This window comes from Homo sapiens, chromosome 1, assembly GCF_000001405.40.
Source record: "Homo sapiens chromosome 1, GRCh38.p14 Primary Assembly".
NCBI lineage: Eukaryota > Metazoa > Chordata > Mammalia > Primates > Hominidae > Homo > Homo sapiens.
The window spans coordinates 5,990,832-6,009,890 of NC_000001.11; the positions used below are offsets into that span (position 1 = coordinate 5,990,832).

Below are 19,059 nucleotides of genomic sequence, written 5' to 3' on the forward strand. Positions count from 1 at the left end.
CCACCTGTTTCCAACCTCCAAAATGAGAGCTGTGAAATCTCCTTGAGATCTCTGCTTCTGCTGATCTATTCAGCAACTATTTCCCGAGCACTTGTGTTCCAGTGCATAAGAAGGCTGTCAAATGTGCTGTCTTCAAGCATCTAGAAAGCCAGTGGGGGAGAAAGACAAGAAAGTGACTGTGAGCAGCAACAGGCCCCCGGGAGGGTGCAGAGGTGAGCAGGGCTGAAGGAAGATGCAGGGGGTGGGAGGCGCTGTCAGGGTCCGGGAAGCCTCCTTCCCGGAATGGAAAATGTGTAATGCCTGAGACCCAGATGCCTTGGGGAGCTTTTGGGGAAGCAGAGGTCTGATTAAGCACTGCCTGGAATTCCCTCATTCATGAGCATTCTTTCAGCACCTACCCTGCGCCCGGGAGAAACGGTCTTGAACACAGCAGACAAGCTCGCTACCCCCATAGAATGTAAAGAAACGGGGCACAAATTAGCATACAAAAAGACACAAGTGTGACCTACGGAAACTGCACAGAGGAGGTGCAACGAACGGAGCCCTGGGTTAGGACCGGGAGGCGCTGCCCACCATCAACAGAAATACTCCTCCTTTTGCCAACTACACACGCGAGAGGCTGGATTTCCTTCACAGACGTCCACCAAAGCCACACATCGCGACACACGGAGGCAGAAAGCAGCGGTCTCCTAAGAAGTTAGACACGAGGAATCTCGGGCAGCGAGGTGCCTGCAAGCCCGGGGGCGGGCGGGAGCAGCCTGCACGCGTGGGGAAGGGCACGCGGGAGCGGGTGGCGCCTTCCGGGCCGGGTCGGCCGGGAGGTTCCAAGGCAGGAAAGGGGCGCAGAAGGCCGGGACGGCGCCGGGTACAAAGCCTCGCAGGGACGCCCGAAGGCCGCAGAGCCACCGCGGGGAACTGACAGCCGGAGCCGGAGCTGGAGCCGGGGGGCGGGGAGGAGGGGCGGAGGGGCGCGGCCAGGCGGGGTCCGCGGACTCCGGCCTGGGAAGGATGCGCGCGGACTAGGGCGCGGGGAGCCAAGGCCCAGAACATCGGTACCGCGCTCCCTTCAGCCGAGGGGCTGCAGAGAGGCCAGGGGGCAGGGGGCAGGGGGCAGGGGGCAGGGGGCAAAGGGCAAGGGCAGAAAGGAACCCACGTAGCCAAACGGCACCCAGCGGCCCCGACCCCAAGTGTCCCGACGAGGGGGGACGCCTGCGACTAACGCGGGGACAGCCCCCGCCGCGCGCCACCGCCGCACCCCAGGCACCGGGCCCCCACGCAGGGACGGCGTGGACCACCCTACCCCCGAACCCCGAGGCTCTGGCCAACACTGAGGCCCCCTGTGCCTCGAGGCCGCGTCCAACCTCCCCCGCGGCGCCGGCCCACATGGTTCCGCCCGCCGCGGGCCGCGTTACCTAGGAGACCGACCCGCCGCGGCCGCGCCGGAGGCCACGGAGCCCACGCTTTTCAGAGAGTCTCCACTCGACGGACCCAGAGGCCCGGCGGCCGGTGCTCAACGGAGCCACAAGCCTGAGGACCGAGGACTGGCCGAGGGGCGCGCCCCGTCCGCTGCCACCCGCGGGAGGAGCCTCGGAAGGCGGCGCACCGCGCCGCACACTCAGTCCAAGAACCCGCCTCGCGTCACTGTCGCCGTCAGGGCCGCGGAGCCAATCAGAGCCCAAGTCGAGGGCTGCGCTTTGCGAGCGCCAGCCAATCGGTGCGGCGGCGGGCCCATCCTGATTTGCATGTCCGACGACCCCTCAACCAATGGTAATGTGACTGGCGTGAACAATAGCCAATCAGAAGCTGGAAGAGGCGTGGCCCCGGGCGTCCCACGAGGTGAAGATGCTGCTGGCGGAACCTGCAGGAGCTAGCGGGATTCGGGGGCGCTAAAGTCGCAGGGGCAGGGCGGGAAGGAAGATCCGGCGCGGGGCACAGGATCCGGAGCTGGAGCCCCCAGGTGAGTACCGGGGAGACCCCGGCGGGGCGCGCTTTCCACCAAGCTGCTCCGGGACGGCGGCGGCGGGTATCCGCGAGGCCCGCGCTGCGGCAGGCGCCGCGGTCCCGTCTCCATCTCTTCTTCCCCGGCCCTGCGTCCCTGCCTCCGCCGCTGTCTCACCTCCTCTCCAGCCTCCTCACCTCCTTCTCCATCGTCTCCCTTCCCCCATCCCTTTCTGTCTTTCCTTCCCTGTCCTCCCGCCCGCCCGACCCTTCAGCTCGCATCCCTGACCCCTGCCCCTGCCGCCGTCCCTCTTCCCGGTGCACCTCTTCCCCATCTCTGCCCGCTCCGGTCCTAGCAGCCTCGCCCTCCCCTTTCCTCCATCCTCCTCTCATCCCCTCTCCCGGCCTCTGCGCAGCCCCACCGGGGCGCTGCTGTTCCCGGTCCTCCCCATCTCTCCTCCTGATCGCTTCTCAAGGCTCATCCGTCGTTCTCGCTGCCTGTCCCTGTGTCGCTCCGGTCCCTTTCCCCACCCTCCCATTCTGCCCCCAGCCCCTCCGACCTCTCCCCGCGGGCACGCTCTCACCACCTTACCCTGCTCCCCAAGACTGTGACCCTGCTTCCTGCACCAGTTCCTCGGGCTGTTTACAGCACACACACCGCCACTTCTGACCCTGAGCCCCTACTCCTATCTTAAGCTTCTCCCTCCTGCCAGGCCTTGGCACAAAGCACTTCCGCACCTCCCTACCTGCTGCTGCTCCCAGGATGCAAAGACCCCACTGCTGCACCGCGTCCTGCGGCATTAGCAGCAGCCGGGGTACCTGCCCACCTTCCCACCCCGCCAACCAGCCGCATCCTGGTGTCCCTCCTCCTGGCATTTGTCCTGGGGGCTCTTACAGGGACTGTGCTTTGCCCGCAGCATCCCGGGGTGCTCCAGGTGGAAAGCCCCTTAGCACCTTTCCTCCCTGGCCACCGTCTCCTTCCCTCCCCACCCCCACTTTCCTGCTCAGCCTCACTTTGTGATTCAGCATTTTTGGGGTTGGTAACTTTCTTGCTTCCTGTCGTGATAGGGACCTGGCTACGGAGCTGAAGGCAGGGGTCTTGACCCTGCGGTTAGCAGGGCCACCTTAGGAACCAGACCTGAGCTGCCTGGTTGGGAGGGGGCTGAGGAGCTGGGGACCGCCACTGGGGGTTGTCTTTTCCTCCCTTTCATTTGTCTGCCCTGTGTTGAACTGTGTCCAAGGGGAGATGACATAAGTAATAGCTCTTGGGGAAGTGGGCTATTAGCATTTATGGAAATTAATACATCCACATCCGAGGAGCAAGAACACCAAGTTCAGGCCACAGCTGTCCCACTGTCTGTCGTTTCAGGATTTTTTCTTTCTCTGCAACTTCTCCTCCCCGACAAAAACCCCAGCCTCACCCCTCCCCTTTCCCCCAGTGCCAAGAGTAAGCTCCTGCTCTGCTAAGGAAGCCGCATTCAGGCCCCGCGTTGCAGGTTGCAGGGTTTGGGGACCTACGTGTGGAGAGTCACATCTGCCCACCTGATTCTCGCCTGGCGGCCGTGTCTGCTGCAGAGCCCTGTGCAGCTCCTGGCCCTGTGCTCTCGCAGTGTGGGGCCCTAAGAGTGCACTTGGTCCTCCAGGTCCTGTCATTGTCTCCACGGCCACACTCGGCCTCAGTGGCACTGACAGTGTTCGGGCCGCAGCACATCCCTCGAGAGCAGCATGGTAGGGGCTTCCCTGTTGACACCCAGGGCCATTTTTTTTTTCCCTGCGCCAGTCAGCAAATGCTTTGTAGGTGCTAGTCAACACCTGGGGGCTGAGCCAGGCACTGGAGTTGGGGGGTGTCGTGAAAAAGTGTGAAACCCTTTTCGTGTGTTTCTTGGTTGAGAACCGTCTTGGGTCTGGATTTGGAGCCTGGATGGGAAGCAGTGTGCACAGAAGCCATTGCACCCGGGAGGTGGGACGTGGGCCATGGCGCTAGAGAGCTGGAAAGGCCGAGGGTGCCATGGGCTGGCCAGCTAGAGAAGGCTTCCTCGCTTTCATTTTTCAGTCATCTTCTAAGACCCAAATGGTTCAGGAGGAAGCGAGTGCCACACAGTTTTGATTTGGCAGTTTCCGGCCTGGGCTTGGAGGGAGGGGCCTCCCCTAGACCTTCCTGTGTGTTGGTGCTCTGCCGTGGTAACTGGGAACACATCATCTGTGTGGAAGGAGAGCCTGCTCCCTCGCGAGAACCAGGGGACCGTGCTTCTGTTTCCAGGGACTCTGGCCAGGTGCGGTATGTGTCTGGTCCTCGGCTAAGTTCTCAGTGATATTCACGCCGCCAGAGGTCCCAGAGTGAATGTTTTCCTGGCGTCCCTGAATAAGGAGGCAGGACAGTGGGCAGCTCGGGGCGGCAATTCGAGAAGGATTGATGCCAGAGGTGTCTAGGGCCATAGACCCCATGTTCCCGCCAGTCCCCCTCCCACCACCAGGAGGACTTGGGTCTTGGCACCCAGCAGCCGGTCATCCTTGCTCTCAGAGGACTAAACGGAAGGACAGGCTTCTCCAGGGTCAACAGAGGCAGTGACGGAGCTGGGTTGGACCCCCTACTTCCTACTTATTTGAGCCCAGTTCATGCCTTGGCTGTCCGAGCTGGGGGAAGCCAGCACCCCGAGGACATGACCGGCTGTCCCTTCAGAAGGCCACTTGGAGGCATTGCTGACATTCATGGGCGCAGCCAGTGCCCTTGGGTGTGTCCAGGTCACTGGAGGGGCTTTTGGGACTGGGAGGTGCCACTACCATGGAGATTTCTCAGCGACTCAGTCCTGCCTGGCATGCAGGCCCTGGTGCAAGGGTACTGTTGTTCGTGGCCTTCAAAGAGATGGCCCCATAGTTAGAGAAGAGTGAGGGCACCAGGTCCGTGGTGGGATGAAGGAAAGGAGGGACCCTCCCCACACTGGAACTACACTCATGACCTCAGTTCGCCTCCGGCACTTGTAAACAACCCTGTGAGGGAGGCTGGATAGGGAAACTGAGGCACAGAGCAGCAGTGAAACTGATCCTGGCCTCCCAGCTAGTGAGGAAACCTTGATTCTGTTCCTGCCCTGCCAGAACTCTGTGAGAGGTGCCCCCTCCGCCATCACCTGAGCTCCATCGAATGCCTGAAATCCTCACCTCTGCAGGAGTGAGTCTCCCAAGAGGCCCTGGAGGCCCAGGCCCAGACCCTGGGGGATATGGAAGCACTCCTTTGTCGTGGCGTGGGAAGCCCCACACTGCTCTTTCCTTGGTGACGGGTGACCCGCCATGTTCAGGCCCCTCCTGGTCTATCTTCGGGTGAGTCTATTAAGGGATACACCATCTCCGCTCAGCCAGTCCCGAGGAGGCAAAGGGAACAGGACCCTCTTCCCCAGGAGAGAGCACACTGGGGGAGATGGGGTGGCACACCTGGGCTTCGTCCTGTCACTGCCCACTGGCTCGAGGCTTTCCTGCCTGCCTGGGCTTGGCAGATGCGTGAGACTCCCTGTCTCATGGGCCTGAGCAGATGCTGGGCCCTCTTGTCCTCTGCCACATCCTGGGGAACTCAGATGAAGGCCAGCCTCCCTCTTCCTGCACACCCACCATGGGATGAGCCCTGGGCTCAGGCCCCTCCCTGCCTGAGGGTGCCCTGCCACTGCCACACCCAGGTTTCCACTCAGACCCCTGCTGGCCAGCGTCTCAGGAGGCTACTCCCTGCTCTGCGCAGTGACCACATGGTTAGCCCCAGAGACCCAGGTTCTGCGTGTCTTCAGTGACAGAGCAACCCCATGCCCACCCTGCCGGCTTCCCCGGCACCTGTCTCCTTGCAGGCAGCCTCCTCCACTTCTCCAGCACACAGGTACCCACAGAGCTAACTGCTTTGACGCCATGCTGGTTGTAGACAAAACAGGATTGGGAAAAGGGGAAAAGTGGAGAAATGGTGGGGACCACCTTCCTGGCCGTCCGCCTTTACCTGGACCCAGTGAGAAGGCTTTCCTGGCTGTGATCTTGAGCCCTGACTGCCGAGCAGCCGAGATCTATCATCCAACTCCATGGCTGGGAGCTGGGCACAGGTTTCTTCTCAGACCCCGCACCAGATTCAACCCATTCCACGTGGGCCAGTTTTCTGGAGCAACTTCCTGGGTCCTGTAGACCCCTGAGGTCTGGTCCGCAGGGGTCCTGAGTCACCAGCCTGGGCTGTTTCCCTGCCAGAGACTTAGCTCTCTGAGTCTCTGGCTCTCTGGCCTGCTAAGCCACACGGATCATTCGTGTCTCCCTCTATCTGAATGGGTGAACTGGTGCCTCAATGGTAGGAGCCTGGGGCTTCCCTGGCACACAGTGGGTGCTGGATAACTGTCAGTTCCCCCTCTTCCAGTCGGACGAGGCGCCCCAGCCACCATCCTGCCTGGAGCTCAGGTGGTTCCTGGGCAGCCCAACGGAGCCCCCAGGAAAACCGGAGCAGAGGAACCTGGCTTTCCTTCTGCGTGGTTTCCTGGGACCTCTTGGCAGTCTCTCAGCTGGAGAGCCCTGCTGAGTGATTTCACAGTGGAGAAGGATGGAGGGAAGGAAGGGGAAGAGAGGGCAGGAGGGGAGAGCCCGTTGCCCTGGTCTGCAGGGAATAGCCTCCCTCTGAGGGAGGGACACTCCTTGCCCTATTCTCCCTGACCTTGGGCCTCGTGGAGGGCCTGCAAGCCTGCCAGACCCCCACTGCACACCTGCCCACCTGTCTGTCTGATTCCAGCAGCCCCTGGGCACCGAGTGGGTTGCAGAGCCATGCTCTGAGCATGCTCCCCCTCCTTCACCATGAATGTGTTTTCATTTTCCACCCCCGGGCAGCTTCATGATCTTTCATTGCAATCTCAGGCCCTGGTATCCACAGGCTCTCAATGCAGCCTAGGACAGAAGACTCTAGAATTCTGCCTCGGAGCCCTGTGATCCCAAACACTCAGCCGTGGCAGGGGCTCTCTGAAAGTGATATTCTTGCCACCCCTCCCAGATGCAGGAGGGTAAGGAATAACTAGAATGCATGGGCAAGGAGATTCAGCTCGATCTATTCATTATAAAACAAATTTAAATTTAAAACATTGCTTAAAACCTATACATGCCAGTGAAGGGCGAAGGTCTTAGCAGCAGACATTTGAAGGACCAAGAATGAGCAAGACCCACCTCCCTCCTCTAGGGCTGAGACCCAGGAAAGGGATGCAGTGACCACATGCCTGGAATGGTCAGAGAAAACCCTGCTGATAGGGAAGGAGAGACGGGGGCAGTGGGGACATTTGACCTGGACCTTGAAAGACAGGCAGGTTGTGATAGGCAGAGCTAGGAAAGGATGGTCTGGAAAAGGGCTCTGCATGGGCAAGGTCACAGAGGGAGGACCAGGCAGGCTGGATGATGGCCAGAGGCCCAGTGCGGTCACAGGCTAGGGCATGAATATGGGTGAATAGGATAACTAGGGGAGGGCATCAGGGCCAAGGCCACCATGGGCTGGACAGTGATGGGGAGGGAGGGAAGAGGAGAGCCCTGGAGCCCCCCAAGCTTTTCTGGCTGGGTCCACCTGGGCTGCACAGACTGAAAGAGGCAGAGCCAGAATCGGGGCCTCTGGATGGGGAGGACTGGGCTCGGTTGACCTTGGGTTTCGAGGTCTGTGTCTTGGACAGCAGTGCCCACTGACATTGAGAAGGTAGGGCTGGGGTTCACAGGAGAGGTGGGACCTGGAGGTGACTGCCACCTACCTACTGGTCACAGCCCTGACAGTGTCACCTGGGGGTAGTGCCAAGGGTCGCCAAGGGTACGGGTTTGAGAGGGAAGATGAAGGTCAAGACAGACAGTAGGGAACCCTGGATTCTTCCAGAGCCCGGGGAGGAGAGGAAAATAGAGGATGAGGCAGGTATCTGCTGCATCCGGTGGGCCAGCTGCTGCCAAGGAGGCAGCCTCTGTTGAGAGGGGAAGCAGAGCTGGGCTCCCAGGAGCAGCGAGGGGGCGCAGGACCCCAGATTCAGCACCACCAGCTTCCAAGCACTCGCCAACCAACTTATACCCATCTGACTGAGGCAGAAACACTGAAAGTCAAAGTGGCTTCCCTAAGGCCTCCAAGCTACTAGGCGCAGGAGCCAGGACCCCAAGCCAGAGTCCCACCCTGGTGACCTTTGGACTTTGCCGCCAATGGCTCTGGAGAGATTTGACCGTGAAAGGAGGAAAAGGAAGGTGAGGGCACAGGGTGGCTCCGGGGCTGGCGGGCGTAGACGAAGCCGCTTTGCTGCTTAACCGCAACTGCCAGCAGCACCCTCTTTCGTCCGCCCCTTTAGAGACGATTTCAACGGCGCATTCTTCCATTTCCTGCCTTAATGGGGGGCATTTCTGGGGACACCCGTGAACTGCGGGCTGGGGCTTAGCCTTGTTGGTTGCCCTGCATAGGTTGGCTGCGTAGTGCTTTACGTTCTGTGTAAGAATTGTGGAGTCTTGGGGCCTGGGTGGGCCGAGGGTCCTGAGATATCGGTGTGCCCAGCAGGCTTGTAGGGTGTGGCACCTGCCCAGCCCTCAGGGGTCCTGGTGCAGCTTAGCAAGCTCCTTGGCCACCAGTCCCTGGTGACTCAGATCAGGGGTTCCAAGAACATGCTTTGAGAAACACTCCCTAGCCCTAGCCGTTTCAGTCTGTCAGTGAACCTGCCCACCTCTACTTCTTAAGGAAGCACACGAGGAAGCTGTTTGTGATGGTTGAAAGCTCCGGCGAGAAGGGCTTTGCGGGGGTTTCTGTAATTCTTGGGAACATGTGAAGCCCACATTCTACTGGAATGACCTGCTGCACTTTTGTGAGCTTCAAATCTGAGATGTGCTTTCATCCTCCCGTGTGTGGCAGGGCGCCTTGTTAGTGTCCAGGCCTCTTGGAATGTGGTTTGGTTCAGGGGTACTGATGGCCCGAGTGCTTGCCCACGGCAGAGGAGGCCAGGGGTCAGTACAGGAGCCAGTCCTCGCCACCCTGTTCCTGACCATACAGAGTCTGTCACCTGCCTGTGCCCTGATTGTACCCCATCTGCACCGTGTCTGCACCCTGCCTGCGCCCTGTCTGTACCCCATGTGCGCCCCATCCGTACCCTGCCTGCGCCATCTGCGCCCTCTCCGCACCCTGTCTGTGTCGTCTGTGCCCTGTCTGTGCCCCGTCCGCATCCCGCCTGCGCCCTGTCTGTGCCCCGTCCGCACCCTGCCTGCACCCCATCCATATCCTGCTCTGCTGTCTGCACCCTCTCTGCACCCTGTCTGCGCCGTCCGTGCCCCGTCTGCACCTTGTCTGTGCCCCGTCCACACCCTGCCTGCACTCTGTCTGTGCCCCATCTGGGCCCTCTGCACGCCCTACCTGTGCCCTGTCTGTCTAGATAGATCCTGCAGCGCCTCCCGCCTCTGCTCAGCCAGCCCCCCGCACCCCCTAGAGGGTATTGCCTTTCCATGGAAATGAGTAGCAGGTATTTTTAGTCACCCAGACCAGGAGGTATTCAGGTGTCACAGACACAAGGCCCGGAGCCATGTTGTCCCTTTGCTCCTACAAAGGAAACAGGATGCCCAAAACAGGACTTGTAAATCCCAACTCAAAACCTCCCCGTTCCGCAGGGACACAGGGTGCTTTGCTCCTTGAAGGAGTAGTGGATGCCTCCTTATTTACATCCTTCGTGCTTACAAGGCAGTGGGGGTGTCCAGGGGACATCAGCCACCCTGTGCTGGGGCACTTCAGAGGCTCCGGGGAGCTGCCATGCTCTCTCTCCATCCCAAAAGATGGGTCTGGGGAGGCCACTGGGGCAGGCGAGCCCGCTCCTGTGAGGAGTGAACCCCACCCCCCGCCGCTCTGCTGGTGTGAGTGACAGTTATCAACAGACCCTGAATGGGGGCTTCCCAGAAAAGAAAAAAAAAAAAAAGAAAACAGTGATATCCCTGGGAGAAAGGGGCCTGTTTACATGAAGCCTATAGGCCGTTGGAATCTGAAGTAGCACCTGGGGGTCCTGGTGACGCCAGCACAGACAGCCCTCTCCAGGGCAGTGCTACAGTGAGACCAGGGTCTGGGGAATGTCACTTGCTCCTCATTAACTCATGAATCGGGAGCCAGGATAAGGTCGCTGCCCTCAGGGCCAACATCAGAGCGGGAGGAGGTGTATGGTCCAGGGCACCAAGGCGTCACTCAGGCCACCACCAAAGCATCACACCAAAGCATTGACAGCGTCCATCTCACATCGTCAGGAAAGGGGGAAGCACTGGATGGCTGTGGCCTCACAGGCAGGGAGAGTGGGGTCCAAAGGCGCAGAGACAGCATGGGGTGTCAGGGCACTGCAGGGAGAGGGACAAGGGCAGGTAAGGAGGGACCTTGGAGGCCGGAACATCTTTCACGGAGGCCTCCTGCTTCCTCTGTGCTGCTGAGCTGGGCCATTCATCTGGCCTGGGTGGAGGGAAGCTGAACAGGGTCCCTCTGCGACCTGGAGGCCCCAGGCCCTACCCTGAGCCCTTGGTGCTCTTGGAGCCCTGAGCTGCTCCAGCTGCATGTGATCACCACACACACACACACACACACACACACACACACACTCTCCCAACACACACACAGACACACAGAGCCTGTGCCACCAGCCCTCATTCTCTGCCTCACCCAGGGCCGGAAGGTTCTGGCTAAGCCTCCGGGGGTGCCACTGGGAGGGATGCCTAGGAGAGGGTCTCCCCAACCCTCTAGCAACCTGATAATCATGATCACCGGTTGTTGGAGTGGCCTGGCCACCTGCTGGGCTGTATGGGTGCTGAGGGCCTGGCTGAGCCCCGTGATACACCCATGGGGGTGGGTCTCTGAAGAGCAGTCTGTGTGAGCAGCAGGAGAGGTGGCACCTCAGGTCAGGGGACGCTTCCCCCCAGGCTCTGGAGGGGACAGGATAACACCTGTCCCCAGGCTTGGCGGAATTCCTGGTCTCTAACGCAGCCCGGAACACACAGAGAAATGATCCAGTGTGGGGCAGTGTTGCTCACATGGTGGTAGGACTGGGTCCTAGGCTCCTGGAGCCAGCGGCCTCAGAAAGCCCCTCTAGGTTCTCTGAGTCTTTGACACTGTGCAGCCCAGACTCCTCATTTTATAGACAGGGAAACTGAGGCCAGATGACTCATCCTTGACAGAGCCGGGATCATGGTGCAGCTCTCTGACTGAGCCCCCTCGATGTCCTGTAGTCTCTCCAAGCATGCCCTGCAGTGGTCATGACTGCTGACATCTGTCCCTGCCTAGACTGTGGGCCTCGTGAGGACAGAACATGCCTGCTGTCCCCATCACCTCTGTCCCCCAGCTCAGCCTGACTGGTAATGCCCCGGCCATGTCATGAGGCCTTGGAACCAAGCCTAAGCTTCCTACAGGCCAGCAAACATCGTCCCCAGCACTGGCTCCCTGATTTCATCTCCCCTGGCCGTGGCAGGCAGAGAGAAGCCTTCAGAACCAGGGAGGACCAGAGGGCTCCTGGCCCAACGGAGGCCAACTGTGACACCAAGGGATCCTCCCCAAGGGGTCTTCCCCGCCAGATACAATCCTGCTCTGAGCACCCTGAACAACAGGCAGTGCCCAAGGGAGGCCAGAGACAGCCGTGGCCTCTGGGGCCTGGCACTCAGCCAGAGCTGGCAGGAGGCGGGGATGCACCTCCTGCAGCTGAGGTTGAGACAAAGCCAGGTGCCTGCCACGGCAGCTGTGGCCTGAGCTGGCATCGGTGGCTGATGGCCACAGACTCCCTGATGCCTGTCATCTGTACTGAGGGCTCTGTCCCAGCCCCTGAACCGTACGTGATGCCCACACCACCGATGAGGACACAGCTTGTGTTTTTACAAACGAGGCACTTAATTATGTGGAGGTAAATCCTTTGAACTGCAGAAACCATCCCAGCACGTCCCCATCAGGTGTTCCCAGGTGGCAGGCAGAGAAGGCCAAGGTCCCTTGAGTGGATTTCCAGGGGAGCTGAAGGGCTACGGCCCTGCCAGGACTGGGAGGTACTGGGAGGGGCTGGACAGCTGAGAGCGGCTGCCCCCCTGCAGGAAGAGGAGGCAGGCGCTTCACCCGACTCTGGACGACGCTGACAGCAGTGTCAAGGACTCTGCCGTCACTGTTGTCCTTTGAGTTGGCAGCTGCCCTGTGTTGCAGATTTGCTCTGGCTCTGGCCCCCTGCTTCGTCCCCTCCACACATTTGTTCTTAGTCCTCAGCTCCTCCCGTCTCTGTGTCCCGGGTGAGAACAGGTCCTAGACCTTGTCTCAGGTCACACAGCTACCAGAGGACAGAGCTAGAACATGACCGCAGCAGACGCCTGATCCTGCGCCCCAGGCGACCCGTTCACGGGGCGGGCGCTCGCCCTTGGCCTCGCTCCTGAGCCACAGTCACCAGGGTGCCAGGTAAAGGGAAACCACATGGGGGCGAGGCCAGCGCACAGCCCCAGCAGCCTGGCCCCTGCTGGCTGCAGGGGCTCCAGAGCCTGTGCTACAAGCCCGGGTGGCCGGAGCCTCCTGCGGGATTCCCCATCCCACCCCTGGAACTTGCTTTCCCTGCTTCCCACACACAGATCCTCCCCACCAGAGCAGGGTCATGGGGTCAGAGGCAGGGTCCGTGTGGTGTGGAGCAGGGGTTCCTCCCCACTCGCTCGCTCGGCTGCCTTCAGCCCCTGCAGACACGCAGGCACCGTCCACCTTCTCCACTCTTAGCGCGAGCCCTGCCCCAGCCAGGAGCACTCACTGAGTGGCCACATTATACCCTCCCGTTTGTCTATAGTTCACTTAAACATTATTTCCTGGGAGATCCGGCAGCTCTTCACTCTTCCGAATCAGGCTGTGGGAAACGTTTGTGTGCATCTCGCTTTATTTCCTCTCTTGAACTATTAGGATAAAGTCACAGAGGTAGGATTCCTGGACCCCAAGCTCTGGACCTCTACTACCCAATTTCAAAAAGGTCGTAGTATATAGCTCATGTCCCAGAACCAGCCACGTCTCCTCGTCGTCGTTTCACCGCAACCTCGCCAGCAATGAGTATTTTCATTTAAAAATGTTTTTGTCTGCTGGCTATGTGATTGCAGAGGCATGGCTGGCCCCAGCTTGCAGCGGTCGCTTCTGCATCTCTTTTTATTCAGCGGGGCCTTTAATGGATGTGGTGGAGTAAAGCTGCCTTTCAAATTGCTGCCGCAGCGCTGCCTGGCAAGATGTTAATCGTTCATGCCCTGTCACGTGGTCATGGGACGGTAATCCTCTTTGAAGCCATTTGTTATTTATTCTTACAGTCCCCCGGAGAGCAGGGAGGAGCCCCCAGTGCCTGGATCACAAACGCAAATACAGAGAGGGCTGCAGACATTTCAGCCTCGAGGTTGGAGCAGAAGCAGGGCTGGGGCCCACCAGGGTCCAGACCCCTAGTAAAGAGGTCACTTCCCACAAAAGAAGGTTGTTTGTCTGCTTCTCATAGAACCTGCTCTGGTTAGAGGGTTTTTTTTTTTTTTTAAGAGACACGATCTTGCTGTGTTACCGAGTCTGGTCTGAAACTCCTGGGCTCAAGTGATCCTCCCGCCTTGGCCTCCCAAGTAGCTGGGACTGCAGATGGGCATTGCTGCACCCAGCTTGGTTAGAGGGTTTTTAAGCCTAGGGGGTGCATTTGTTTCCTAGTACCACAAGCAGGGTGGCTTGAAACAGCATTATTTATTCTCTCATGGATCAGGAAGCCAGAAGGCAAGGTGTGGGCAGGGTTGGTTCCCTCTGGAGACCGAGGTAGCATGTGTTCCAGGCCTCGCTCCTGGTTCCTGGTGGCTGCCCGTAGTGTTCCTTGGCTTGTAGAAACACCCCCCCGAGATTCTGCCCCCATCGCCACATGGCCTTTTCTGTGTCTGTCTCCTCTTTTTATATGGACACTTGTCATTGGATTTAGGGCCCATCCTAATCCAGGATGGCCTCATCGCAGGATTTCCACCTTAATTACATCTGCAAAAACCCTTTTGCCAAATAATTCCACATCGACAGGTAACTGGGATTATGACTTGGGTGGATCTTTCAGGGAACACAGTCCACCCCACACAATAGGTTTCTACCCCCGAGTCCCACCTCCAGCCCCGTCTCCCTCCAGAGTCTGGCTGCTTCTTCCTCATCAGACAGTTCCTTCCCTCTGTAGGGATTGCATACAAGTGTTGCTGGCTGAGGGGTGAGGGTGGAGTGGGGGGATGTGGGAGCTGAGCTGAGGGATGAGGGTGCAGGCAGAGATCTGGGAGCTGAGCTAAGGGGTGAGGGTGGAGTAGGGGGACGCGGGGGCTGAGCTGAGGGGTGAGGGTAGAGTGGGGGACATGGAAGCTGAGCTGAGGGGTGAGGGTAGAGTGGGGGGATGTGGGAGCTGAGCTGAGGGGTGAGGGTGCAGTGGGGGGACGTGGGAGCTGAGCTGAGGGGTGAGGGTAGAGTGGGGGGATGTGGGAGCTGAGCTGAGGGGTGAGGGTGGAGTAGGGGGACGTGTGAGCTGAGCTGAGGGGTGGGGGTGGAGTTGGGGGATGTGGGATCTGAGCTGAGGGGTGAGGGTAGAGTGGGGGACATGGAAGCTGAGCTGAGGGGTGAGGGTAGAGTGGGGGGATGTGGGAGCTGAGCTGAGGAGTGAGGGTGAACTGGGGGATGTGGGAGCTGAGCTGAGGGGTGGGGGTGGAGTTGTGGGTTGTGTGAGCTGAGCTGAGGGGTGAGGGTGGAGGCGGGGACGTGGCAGCCCAGCTGAGGGCCTTGGAGCACACCTGGTAGGAAGCCAGCCTGTGGACCTGGAGCCGACTGAGGGTCCCCCCTACCCCCCATGAGTAGGAGTGGGATCCAACCTGGGTCCCCTCTCTCCCCTCCTGCTGGTGTATTTGTAGTTGGAAGGCAGCACACCCTCCTGGCTCAGAGAGATGGGTTTAGTGGCCCGGGGAGGCACGGAAGCCCAGGTCTGTCTTTTCCCAGCGGTCACTGTGAGGATGCAGGGCCCCCACGTGGGGAGACAGGGCACAGCCTCCCATTGGGGCAGATGGGGGTCTCCCTGCCCAGGATGCCGGCCGGAGTTTCCCCTGGCAGGGACCACGGGTGCTGTGACTGGAGGGAGGTCCCAGGGCTGGCACCCTGGGGCTCTGTTCTGATGTTCTGATCCATTCCACCCTCACCCCTCAGCTCAGCTCCCACATCCCCCCACTCCACCCTCACCCCTCAGCTCAGCTCCTACATTTCCCACTCCACCCTCACCCCTCAGCTCAGCTCCTACATTTCCCACTCCACCCTCACCCCTCAGCTCAGCTCCCACATCCCCCCACTCCACCCTCACCCCTCAGCTCAGCTCCTACATTTCCCACTCCACCCTCACCCCTCAGCTCAGCTCCCACGTCCCCCCACTCCACCCTCACCCCTCAGCTCAGCTCCCACATCCCCCCACTCCACCCTCACCCCTCAGCTCAGCTCCTACATTTCCCACTCCACCCTCACCCCTCAGCTCAGCTCCTACATTTCCCACTCCACCCTCACCCCTCAGCTCAGCTCCCACATCCCCCCACTCCACCCTCACCCCTCAGCTCAGCTCCTACATTTCCCACTCCACCCTCACCCCTCAGCTCAGCTCCCACGTCCCCCCACTCCACCCCCACCCCTCAGCTCAGCTCCCACATCCCCCCACTCCACCCTCACCCCTCAATTCAGCTCCTACATTTCCCACTCCACCCTCACCCCTCAGCTCAGCTCCCACGTCCCCCCACTGCACCCTCACCCCTCAGCCCCACTCCACTCCCACCCCTCAGCTCAGCTCCCACATCACCCACTCCTCCCCTACCCCTCAGCTCAGCTCCCACATCCCCCCACTTCACCCTCACCCCTCAGCTCAGCTCCCACATCCCCCCACTCCACCCTCACCCCTCAGCTCAGGTCCCACATCCCCCACTTCACCCTCCACCCCTCAGCTCAGCTCCCACATCCCCCACTTCACCCTCACTCCTCAGCTCAGCTCCCACATTCCCCTACTCCACCCTCACCCCTCAGTGCTCTGTCAGAAGCGCTACCTGACCACATCCCTCCTCTGGGCTCTGAGTTCCCCTGTGCAAGTGGAACCAATCTTTCCCCTCAACTTCTTCCAAGGGCCGTGATTGAAACCCACCTAAAATACAATGATAAGAGCTGTTGTCGAGGGATCAGACAGCAGCCTGTGTAAGATGAGCACTGGGTTCTGGGGAAGGACGGTAAACAGTTCGCCTTATTCTGTGCTGGGCACTGTGCTTAAGCCCAGCAGCGGGCCCTGGCTGGACTCAGTGTCCAGAGTGTCTCTGCTCAGGGCTGGCCGAGAGTCAGCGCTTTCTGTCCCTGTGGCGGACAGTCCGACCTCTCCGAGGCTGCCATAGAGACTCATATCAGCCAGGCGAGCTGGGAGCGCCACCACTCCCCAGATAGTTACTGCCCGGGCCTCCCTGCCCAGTCACTGCATGGGGGGGGCTCAGCTCCTGGGTGTGAGTTTGTGCCAGGCTCCAGAGAGGTGGGGACCCCAGCCACACCCAGGGACAGGGCCAAGTGGCCAAGAGACCACTTAAATGCCAGCGTGGCCACCCCATGTAAAGCAATGATCTCTCTGAAATTGCTCATCTGGTATACACCAGGACACTGGCCTCTTCTTCCTTCTCCCATCCTGGGATTTAAGAAGTTAAAACCCACCCCCTCTGCCCAGGAAGCCGAGGCAGCAGCTTGGAGCCAGAGCCGGAGGCAGAGCGGCTCCATCCGTGGGGAGCCGCGCCACCTCTGCGCCTCCTCCGCGCCTCCTCTGCGCCCCGCGCCGTGCTGAGTCAGGCTCTGAAACGCAGTCATCATCCGGAAGTGGTTCTTGCTGTGGCCCCATCCCCCTGTGTGATTTTCCTACCTTGGCTCACTTAAAATTTCAATCTGGCTCTGAGAGGAGACTCAGCATTTCCTTTATCTCCTTTTACTGTGGATGCTTGGAAAGGAGTGGGAGAAGCTGGGCGCCGCAGTGTGTGCGCGTCACTGTTGCCCTTACCCCCGAAGGAGGGGATGGCCAAGAGAACCTGGAACCTCCCCTCCCGTCCCTGTGCCCGCCGCTTCCCTTGGCCCTCACTGATGAGCCCAACAGATGCAGAGGCTCCTTCTCTCCCTGGCACTGCAGCCAGGTAGAGGCAGCTGCAGCCGCAGCCCTGAGAGGGGCTGGAGACGCTGAGGCAGGGGCAGTGGTGGGGTCTGGCTCCCCTCAGTTCAAAGTGGCCTGCAGATGCTGCCTGGAGCTGTCTGGTTTGACATGGCTCCCTCTGAGGGAGCTGATGAGTGAGGGCCAGGAGCACTACTTCATCAGGCATCCCCTCACCTGCACCAATGGGGAGGCGAACCTGGAGCTGGGCCATTAAGACCCACAGATTGTTTTCTCCATGTTGCGAAGGGCAGGGCTTGGATTTCACGAGGCAGATGGTGAGCCAAGTCCGGTTCCGCTGCGCTGGGTCCCCCATGGCAGAAAGGACCCGCCCCCCCATCACCCTGACAGTGGCTTGCATGCCCAAGAGCAGCCAGCATCCAGGACAGGCTTCCCTCGTTCCTCTGTTCATCCTCTTTAAGAATCACTCAGAGCCAGGCACGGTGGTTCACGCCTGTAATCCCAGCACTTTGGTAGGCCAAGGTGGGCGGATCACCTGAGGTCAGGAGTTCGAGACCAGCCTGGCCAACACGGTGAAACCCCGTCTCTACTAAAAATACAAAAATTACCCAGGCATGATGGCGTGCACCTGTAATCCCAGCTACTCGGGAGGCTGAAGCAAGAGAATTGCTTGAACCCGGGTGGCGTGGTGGAAGTTGCAATGAACCAAGATTGCACCGCTGCACTCCAGCCTGGAGACGGAGCGAGACTGTCTCAAAAAAAAAAAAAAAGGATCACTCAGGACACCAACATGGGCTGAGAAATGCTCCTGGTATCAACAGAACTGCAGCAGATGATGAAAACAAGGCTGTGATCAGGGAAGTGGCTGAGGGAGTGAGGCCCCCGAACCACCACCCCAGAGCTCTGTCCCAGGCCCCTGGGGTCTCATGCTGTGACCTCCTGCGCCACATGGGGAGAGGTCACCTGGGGGACTTGTTTCCGTGGGAACCTCAGGCCTTGGGCCTGAGTGAGGAGATGTCTGAAGCCTCTGGCCTGGGCGGAGAGTGAGACCCCAGAGCAGCCCTGCCCATTCCTCTGGGAGCAGCCTCAGTGAAAGCTGTAAAGCAGGGAAATTGGACACGTCCAGGCCAGAAAGAGCAAAGCAAAAGTGCCCCTGGGTGCACTGCACCCCACAGTCCAACCCTTCTCCCCCAGGAGCTGCAGGCCACGCTCTGAGCCTCTGTTTGAAGTGGTCCCTGACTGGACATTCTCATCTCGGGACATGAGCTAGGGTCACCCAGCACCACTATGCAGCTCTCCAAGTCCCCCTGGCCACCCCGCCCTCTGTAGGGGTGCTGGGCCTTGCTCTGCACCTATCCCTTGGAGTATCTGCTTTCCAGAGCGGCAGGAGGCCCGCCTGGTATGCCCATGGGGGCATCCACCTGTGCAGAGTGTGGCCTCTCCCCAGCAGATCGCTGGGTACATGAGCAGGCAGCAGACCATAAGCAGGCTGGCTAACGGGTGGAGGGGGCCCGGTGGTGTCCGTGTGCGTGTATGTGTGCACACGTGTGCATATGTGTATGCACACACCTGCACACACACCTTCAGATGCACGTCCCCTGTCTAGACCCCATCAAAGCCTCTTGCCAGGACTGGCCTGGAACACACTGTCCAGCCTGATTCTGTTCTCTCCCTGGCTTCTCTTGATCAACTTCCTGTAATGGGAGGAACTCTGACACACTTCACAAAAGGGTGTCAAATTAGTTTTAAAGGGAAAAAGAACTGCAGCATGATCTGGAATTCGCTTTCTGCCCTGCGGTTCCACTGTGAAGGCAACACGCCTTCGAGGAGTTGGGGGATGAGGCAGTGGGGCCCTGTGAGGCCCTGCGGTTTCTATCGGAGTGCTCTCTGACCCCCGGTGTTCCCTCTCTGTCTCTCTATGTCTTTAGCAGGTGTTTCCCACACTTTAGTCATTGGCCTTTCATCTCATGATTTGGGTCATCTGTGCTATTTCTTTTCTTTTTTTCTTTTTTTTTTTTTTTCC

General features: G+C 59.7%; 2 protein-coding genes across 24 annotated transcripts in view, besides 10 other annotated features; one reads left to right on the forward strand and one right to left on the reverse strand.

Annotated features, from left to right (window-relative positions):
- The window catches only part of NPHP4 (nephrocystin 4), a 129,615-nt gene extending 128,021 nt beyond the window's left edge, over nt 1-1,594 (reverse strand). For 5 of the 17 annotated variants that reach the window (NR_111987.2, NM_001291594.2, XM_017000999.2 and 2 more), the window contains exon 1: nt 1,413-1,594. The gene's annotated coding sequence lies outside the window, so the exon portion shown is untranslated. Of the gene's footprint in view, nt 1-4; nt 141-509; nt 1,094-1,412 lie in introns of those variants that run through there. The other 12 variants (XM_047417581.1, XM_011541216.3, XM_047417585.1 and 9 more) reach the window with 7 other exon arrangements.
- Nucleotides 163-1,017: an enhancer, noted in NCBI's record as "H3K27ac-H3K4me1 hESC enhancer chr1:6051054-6051908 (GRCh37/hg19 assembly coordinates)". NCBI's record gives its function as "activates a minimal SCP1, AML or CMV promoter by ChIP-STARR-seq in naive H9 embryonic stem cells {active_cell/tissue: H9 hESC(naive)}" and the evidence as "EXISTENCE:reporter gene assay evidence [ECO:0000049][PMID:30033119]".
- Nucleotides 1,094-1,273: a silencer, noted in NCBI's record as "silent region_133". NCBI's record gives its function as "represses an Ori minimal core promoter by ATAC-STARR-seq in GM12878 lymphoblastoid cells {active_cell/tissue: GM12878}" and the evidence as "EXISTENCE:reporter gene assay evidence [ECO:0000049][PMID:35858748]".
- Nucleotides 1,424-1,593: a silencer, noted in NCBI's record as "silent region_134". NCBI's record gives its function as "represses an Ori minimal core promoter by ATAC-STARR-seq in GM12878 lymphoblastoid cells {active_cell/tissue: GM12878}" and the evidence as "EXISTENCE:reporter gene assay evidence [ECO:0000049][PMID:35858748]".
- Nucleotides 1,634-1,813: a silencer, noted in NCBI's record as "silent region_135". NCBI's record gives its function as "represses an Ori minimal core promoter by ATAC-STARR-seq in GM12878 lymphoblastoid cells {active_cell/tissue: GM12878}" and the evidence as "EXISTENCE:reporter gene assay evidence [ECO:0000049][PMID:35858748]".
- The window catches only part of KCNAB2 (potassium voltage-gated channel subfamily A regulatory beta subunit 2), a 108,505-nt gene continuing 91,290 nt past the window's right edge, over nt 1,845-19,059 (forward strand). For all 7 annotated transcript variants that reach the window (XM_047432866.1, XM_047432870.1, XM_047432872.1 and 4 more), the window contains exon 1: nt 1,845-1,957. The gene's annotated coding sequence lies outside the window, so the exon portion shown is untranslated. The remainder of the gene's footprint in view (nt 1,958-19,059) is intronic.
- Nucleotides 1,894-2,143: a silencer, noted in NCBI's record as "silent region_136". NCBI's record gives its function as "represses an Ori minimal core promoter by ATAC-STARR-seq in GM12878 lymphoblastoid cells {active_cell/tissue: GM12878}" and the evidence as "EXISTENCE:reporter gene assay evidence [ECO:0000049][PMID:35858748]".
- Nucleotides 2,894-2,943: an enhancer, noted in NCBI's record as "active region_70". NCBI's record gives its function as "activates an Ori minimal core promoter by ATAC-STARR-seq in GM12878 lymphoblastoid cells {active_cell/tissue: GM12878}" and the evidence as "EXISTENCE:reporter gene assay evidence [ECO:0000049][PMID:35858748]".
- Nucleotides 8,440-9,154: an enhancer, noted in NCBI's record as "H3K4me1 hESC enhancer chr1:6059331-6060045 (GRCh37/hg19 assembly coordinates)". NCBI's record gives its function as "activates a minimal SCP1, AML or CMV promoter by ChIP-STARR-seq in primed H9 embryonic stem cells {active_cell/tissue: H9 hESC(primed)}" and the evidence as "EXISTENCE:reporter gene assay evidence [ECO:0000049][PMID:30033119]".
- Nucleotides 9,155-9,869: an enhancer, noted in NCBI's record as "H3K4me1 hESC enhancer chr1:6060046-6060760 (GRCh37/hg19 assembly coordinates)". NCBI's record gives its function as "activates a minimal SCP1, AML or CMV promoter by ChIP-STARR-seq in primed H9 embryonic stem cells {active_cell/tissue: H9 hESC(primed)}" and the evidence as "EXISTENCE:reporter gene assay evidence [ECO:0000049][PMID:30033119]".
- Nucleotides 12,013-12,727: an enhancer, noted in NCBI's record as "H3K4me1 hESC enhancer chr1:6062904-6063618 (GRCh37/hg19 assembly coordinates)". NCBI's record gives its function as "activates a minimal SCP1, AML or CMV promoter by ChIP-STARR-seq in naive H9 embryonic stem cells {active_cell/tissue: H9 hESC(naive)}" and the evidence as "EXISTENCE:reporter gene assay evidence [ECO:0000049][PMID:30033119]".
- Nucleotides 17,779-18,371: an enhancer, noted in NCBI's record as "H3K4me1 hESC enhancer chr1:6068670-6069262 (GRCh37/hg19 assembly coordinates)". NCBI's record gives its function as "activates a minimal SCP1, AML or CMV promoter by ChIP-STARR-seq in naive H9 embryonic stem cells {active_cell/tissue: H9 hESC(naive)}" and the evidence as "EXISTENCE:reporter gene assay evidence [ECO:0000049][PMID:30033119]".